This window comes from Homo sapiens, chromosome 8 (genome assembly GCF_000001405.40).
Source record: "Homo sapiens chromosome 8, GRCh38.p14 Primary Assembly".
In the NCBI taxonomy this organism is placed as follows: Eukaryota; Metazoa; Chordata; class Mammalia; order Primates; family Hominidae; genus Homo; species Homo sapiens.
The window spans coordinates 348,114-354,794 of NC_000008.11; the positions used below are offsets into that span (position 1 = coordinate 348,114).

General features: G+C 44.0%; 1 annotated feature.

Moving 5' to 3' along the window:
• Positions 1,614 to 2,147: an enhancer, noted in NCBI's record as "H3K27ac-H3K4me1 hESC enhancer chr8:299727-300260 (GRCh37/hg19 assembly coordinates)". NCBI's record gives its function as "activates a minimal SCP1, AML or CMV promoter by ChIP-STARR-seq in naive H9 embryonic stem cells {active_cell/tissue: H9 hESC(naive)}" and the evidence as "EXISTENCE:reporter gene assay evidence [ECO:0000049][PMID:30033119]".

Genomic DNA, 6,681 nt, shown 5'->3' on the forward strand with positions numbered 1-6,681 from the left:
ATGACAATACACATCACTGATTCCATATGAAAACCAAGATTTAAAATGTGAAAAGTAGTAATCACAATTATGCCTAAAAAAGCAGTGCCTACATACAAAACCTGTCTGAATAAAGTCAGTTTGTGTCTGCCAATCTCATCAGGAGGAATTGAACCCAGAGCCCAGCCCAGGGACCAGCGCTAATGAAGTCTGTGAATGTGGGGTCGCCTGGAGCTCGAGCTGGTGTCGGTCTCTCTCATTCCTGCAGACTTAGAAGATGAAGCAGACTTGATAAAAGTGGGATTTTAAAAATATTAATTTATAGATGCTTAATAGATATTAAAGCAATATTTTCTACAGTCAGTTGAGTTTGGGTACCGCCGAGTGAGATAACACTATTTCAGGACTTCTGAAGGCATCCGCTGTGTTCATGTGCAGGGACCCATGAGGACACTCAGTAGGCAGTCACCAGGTGTCCCCGGCCACAAGGGCCTTTCACGTTTTTCCCCAAAGCATTTCATGGGGCTGGTGTTCCGTGGGATACAATGAAGGAAGTGCTTCATTCAACAGTTTCTCAATACAGCTTCCTAGGAACAAAATCGTTATTTCAAATTTACCAGAGTGTGTTAACATTAATTTATCAGACTCCAACACACTAATCTCTTATCAAATAATTCTAGTTATTTTTATTATCACTAGATGAGAGTGATACAGAGGTAATATATTTCCAGGAAAAAACACTGGGCAGAGTTCAGGAGCTATGCGTGAAGTGTGGTCCTAGCTACATTAAGTTGTAGCCATGAGACATTTAAAACTTTTCTTTATCTGTTTAAAATCCAAGTGTAATCATAATGTGTTAATTCGGTTTAATAATGTATTAATAATTTAAATATAATTTTAGTAGGAGAGCTTCTGTGTGTTCCATTTTTAATGTCTCCACAGCTTGAACTAGGACACCTTTCCTTTGATCCACACAATTGTTCCAATTTGGACACATAGTCCTCTTAACTCTCCTTTGCTTAGCTCAGTCCCACCACTGCACTGAATGAGACACTTTCAGTCACCGATCTGTATGGTACAATCTGAAATGAAACATCCATTTTGAGCATTGCCAATAATCATGATGCCAAATTCATATCATGAAAACTTTAAGCACTATCATGGAGAATTCAGTGTGTGCAAATATATTGCATTATGTCAACTTCTCTGAGATATGCGTTTTGTAGTGTGTCTGCAATGTGCAGACCAAAGGAGGGGAGGGATCCAGCTTGGGCTTGAAGCCTGCTCAGTGTCGATTGAAGACAATTCTGGGTTTGTCAGAAATCCATTTGCAGAAGGAGCCAGAAGGCTTTGGAGAGATATGTCATTTTAGGGAAGAGGGTTGAGAGAACTATGTTTTCCCACATGAGTCAGACGCAGAGCAGAAGCGTGGGGACGCGGTGCCTGGAGGACCCAGACCAGTGGGTGCTGGTCTTCCCAGGTCAGGGCACCAACCTCACACAAGGCCAGAGAGAGGAGGTGTCCTGTGGCCCTCACTAAGCCACAGGCGCCTCCATACAACAGAACCCACAAGACGACATCACCTGGAGAGGCCACGAGGGACGTTCCTCCGGAGCACTGAGCCGGGACTGCGACAAGGGGTCCTAGCAGGGAGCCACGAGGGCACCGGCCCCTCCGTCCACATCCTCCAGGCTCGGAGGCCTCTGCCCTGATGCCTGAGGCTGGATGGGACAGGGACAGAGAGAAGCTATGCAGAGCCCATGGAGGGAAGACCCAACCTGCAGGGGCGGCTTCTTCATGAGCTGCAGGGAGCCCAGCAGAGGAAGGGCCATGATGGGGCAAAGGAGGGGGAAGCTGTGAGTAAGGACATGGCCTCCAGCGAAGCATCCCATGTGGATTTAGGGATGGCCTAGGATCTCTGAATGGATTCAGTTAACAGGCATCAAAGAAACACTCCCAAGTGCATGAAGGAATTGAGTACGAGATAAAACATCAGTTCTAATCACTGGAGGGGCAACGGATGGCTCAGTAGTTTGGGGATATGTGGTTAGCCATTCAGAAATAAAATAAACTGAATTCTATTTTACTAATTAGGTAGGCAGGTAGATAGGTAAGTAAGTAGGTAGGCAGGTGGATAGGTAGGTGGCTAGATGGGTAGACAGATAAGTAAGCAGGCAAGTAGGCAGGCACGTAGGCAGGTAGGTAGGTAGATAGGTAGGCAGGTAGGTACATAAGTAGGTAGATAGGTAGATAGATAGGCAGGTAGGGAGGTAGATAGGCAGGTAGGCAGGTAGGTAGATAGGTAGTTAGCTAGGTGGGTATATAGGTAGGTGGCTAGATATGTAAGCAGGTAGATAAGTAGGTAGCAGGTAGATAGGTAGGTGGCTAGATGGTAGGCAGGTAGATAGGTAAGTAGGTAGGTAGGTGGCTAGATGGCAGGCAGGGAGGTAAGTAGGTAGATAGGCAGGCAGGTAAGTAGGTAGGTAAATAAGAAGGCAGGCAGGTAGGTAGGTAGATAGTCAGGTACACAGGTAGGTAGGTAGATAGGAAAGCAGGTAGGTAGGTAGATAGGCAGGTAGACAGGTAGGTAGGTAGATAGGAAAGCAGGTAGGAAGGTAGATAGGCAGGTAGACAGGTAGTAGATGGGTAGGTGCTAGGTGAGTAGATAGGTAAGAAGCTAGATAGATAGGCAAGTAGATAGGCAGGTGGGTAGGTAGGCAGGCAGGTAAGTAGACAAGCAGGTAAGTAGGTAGGTAAGTAGGTAGGAGGGTGGGTAGATAGGCAAGTAGGTAGGTAGGTAGCTTGGCAGGTAGACAGGTAGGTAGGTAGATAGGTAGGTAGGTAAGTAGTAGATAGGTAGTCAGGTGAGTAGACAGACTGGTAGGTGAGTAGGTAGGTAGATGCACAGGCAAGTAAGTAGGTACATAGGTAGGTAGGTAGGTAGGTAGGTAGATAGGCAAGCAGCAGATAGGTAGGTAGGTAGGTAGATAGGCAGGCAGCAGATAGGTAGGTAGATAGGTAGGCATGGTACGTATGGTAGGTAGGTAGATAGGGAGTTAGGTAGGTAGATAGGCAAGTAGGTAGATAGGTGGGTAGACAGGCAGGTAGGTAGGTAGATAGGTTGGTAGCTAGGTAGGTAGATAGGCAGGTAGGTAGGCAGATAATCTGGTAGTCAGGTAGGTAGGAGGTATGTAGGTAGATAGGTAGGCAGGTAGGTAAATAGGTATGGTAGATAAGTAGGTAGGCAGGCAGATAGGTAGATAGGTAGGTAGACAACAGATAGGTAGGTAGGTAGATAAACAGCATGATAGGTAAGTAGATAGATAGGTAGGTAGATAAGCAGGTAGGTAGATATACAGATAGGTAGGTAGATAAGCAGGTAGGTAGATAGGTAGGTAAGTAGGTAGGCAGTTTTATAGGCAGGTAGGTAAGTAGGCAAGTAGATAGGTAGGTGGCTAGATAGGTATGCAGGTAGAGAGGCAGGTAGGTAAGTGTACAGATAGGCAGGTACGTAGGTAGCTAGGTAGGTAGGCAGGTAGGTAGAAGGTATGGTAGGTAGGTAGATAGGTAGGCAGGTAGGTAGTCAGGTAGGTAATTATTAATAGATTGGCAGGAAGATAGGTAGGTAGATAGGCAGAAAGGCTCTCTATATGTCTGGACAATTTCATTGCAAAGTTAATGTAATGTTCTGAAACATGCTACAACGTGGATGAACCTTGAAAACATTATATTAAGTCAAAGAAGCCAGACATGAAAGACCACATATTATACAGTTCCATTCACGTGAAAAGTCCAGAATGGGCAAATCCATAGTGAAAGAAAGCAACCCTGTGGCGACCAGGGCTGGGGAAGGTGGGGAGTGACCATGAATGGGTTCAGAGTTTTCTCTTGGAAATTCTGAAACTAGATAGTAGTGAAGATTGCACAACATCATGAATATACAAAATGCCACTGAACTCCACATATCAAAATGGTGAATTTTTTGTGTGTATTTTACTAATAAGGAGTTAAAGAACAGATTTTTTGCTGTGTAGAGTACCTTCAACACTGGGTAACATTTATTCTGACCGGATCATTATGGGCTGGATTGACTAGAACAATATTTAAGAAAGCATTTCTCAGAATAATGAATGGCAGGAAATACCATAGTTAATTAATAATTGACTGGTTTGTAATTATGTGCTATCTACACCCATAAAGAAATTGAGAAGCTCATAAAATGCACATATAAATAAGAGTTAATTATGTGAATAAGTTTAAATGTTTTTATGACAATTTAAAATTATTTTACTTTTATAAGACTTCCATGTAGGTACTAGCACTTTCATTAATGTGCTTGCTATTTTTCACTTAAATTTTTATCTCTATGAAAACCTAACACCTTCGAGAAACGGATTCATGTGCACGTTTCTGTTGCTAAACTGTGGCAGGAACATCAGACCTTAATAAGAGAAGGGTGAGGAACCACAACTGCATATGTAGTATTCACAGTAGGAGAAAAGTGATACTAATATACCATGTAGAAAAAAAGCACAACAAAATAAGATACCATTTAGCACACACAGACAAACATGTTTGCTGCTTTGTTTCTTGTGACTGACAGACGCTCTTACTTACTCCGAGTCTTTGAGGTAATAACTGCTTGGAAGATGGCCGAAGAGGAGGTGTTGACATGCAAGAGTGGCTATTTTAAAGGAGCACGAACCATGGGCTAATAAGCGCCTGCGATGTGGCCACTTCAAGCCCACATGCTGCCAGCACCATGTCCTCGTCTGGCGTGGACATCCAAGGGCGGAGGAAGAGCTGAACCCTCCACAAAGGTTCCATTTGTATGCAGAAACAATGTCCACAGTAGGCGAGGGTTTTCTTTAAAATCATTAGCGTAGCTAAATTTCAAAGTTCAAGTAAAAATTGTTTTTTACAGATTGGGAAGTCCTCTCCGTTGTACCCATCAGCAGAAGGTGTGTGTGTTCAAGGCAAAGCGATCAGAATTGAGTGCAGAATTGACCTCTGTCGGAATGTTCCGCATCCTAGGTCTCCTGTCCCTCGCTGCCACTGCGATGTCTGCTGGAGACAGACTGTGCCTTCACGGTCAGACAATGCCCTCCTGGACTCTTCTGGCTTTGTAATGTGCCTGCTCTTCAGCCAACGGGGCCTTCTGGAAGGAGTGAAGGCCAGTAGTCAGAGATGCTGGTGCAAACCTATGCTCTGTCATTCCCAGACTCGGTGTTCTTGGGTGAATCCTCTCCCTGTCTGTTTTCTGGGAATAATAAGAACCTGTCACTTCTGTCTTTGCGGGCTGCTGTGAGGATGGTTTGCTATGCTGTAATATGAAAGGACCATGCAGATGATAAAATGACCCACAGAAAAAGCTGGTATTCTCATTATCATCATTTAAAATACTACAGGTGAACTTTCTGTGTAAGTAGAGGTTCTTTGCAGAAACATTTTTGTTTTAAATTTCTGAAAAGACTCTATCCTTGAACAGAATATGTGGCAGAGGGATTTGTCCGTATTCATGTCTCATTACAAACATCTCTTCTGGTTAAAAATGCAAATGCAGCTGACAGGAGAGGACAGATGCTTGGCTAGAAGCCTTCTGACTGTCATCCTCAGCTGCCCCTCAGCAGTAACTACAAAGCCTGCTTCCTCAAAAGCTACTCCTGGTATTTGCTGGGTTGTGCCCTTTTCTTTTTTTTTTCTTCTTTTTTTGCTTTATGCACAAAGTGAGCAGCACAAAGGCATGATCTCATGGCCATTGTAGCATGGGCAACTTTGGGTTAAATTGCTTTGGTCTCTATTTAATTTGGTTATTTTTCTCCCACATGCTTTTGCACTGTCCGGAAAATGAGCTTTTTCATGATTACTCTCAGTGTGCTGAGACTAGTCAGCAGCGTTGAAAGATTCTTTGTCTCTGCACAGCCAGCCCAGGGCTCACGGACACACTTTACTATCCTGCATCCACACTCCCTTTTCCTTTGTGTGTAAATTCCCGAGAATGAAGGAACCGTTTTACCCCCTCATGTTTCAGGATGCTCTGCTAAGGCGAGAACCTCACAGTACATGAAAGCACCTGTAGGGCTCCTGTCTGAGGAGCCACCCACCTATGTCTGCATCCAGTCCGCTCCTTTACAAGATTAAAGTGGCCCGGCTGAGACACTGCTTCTTAGAAGGTAAGTTACACTCAGAAAAGTCTTATCTGAAAAATCGTGTTTGACTGTTAACAGATCTAATGTTATTCTTTAAAAAAATATAGTCCAACTTATAGAAATTTCTCATTGAGAGACTATCTAAACAGTGAACAGTGACCAAACACAAGTCCTCTGCTAGGGTAGGAACAGCCGCACAATCACAATCTGAGAATGTCTTGAAACATGCACACACAAGGGACTCTACCGCCAGACCTCACCACCACCCAGGCCATCCCCATCACCAGCTCTCCCGCCAGTGGCTCCGCTAGTCCAGGCGGAGCACAGGACTCTAGTTTAATAAGCTCCTCAGGTGACTATGCTGCATCATGCCAACCTAAACATCAAAAAGAGAGAGTCTGTCTTAAAACAAAACAAAACAAAACAAAACAAAGGCATGTACTGGGGAATAGGGGATTTCAATGGGAATATGTGCGCCATGGTAAACTATGTGAGGATTCAGGCAGGCAAACAAAGAGAAAGGTTTTTAGAGAAAAAAAAATGAGGATTATGT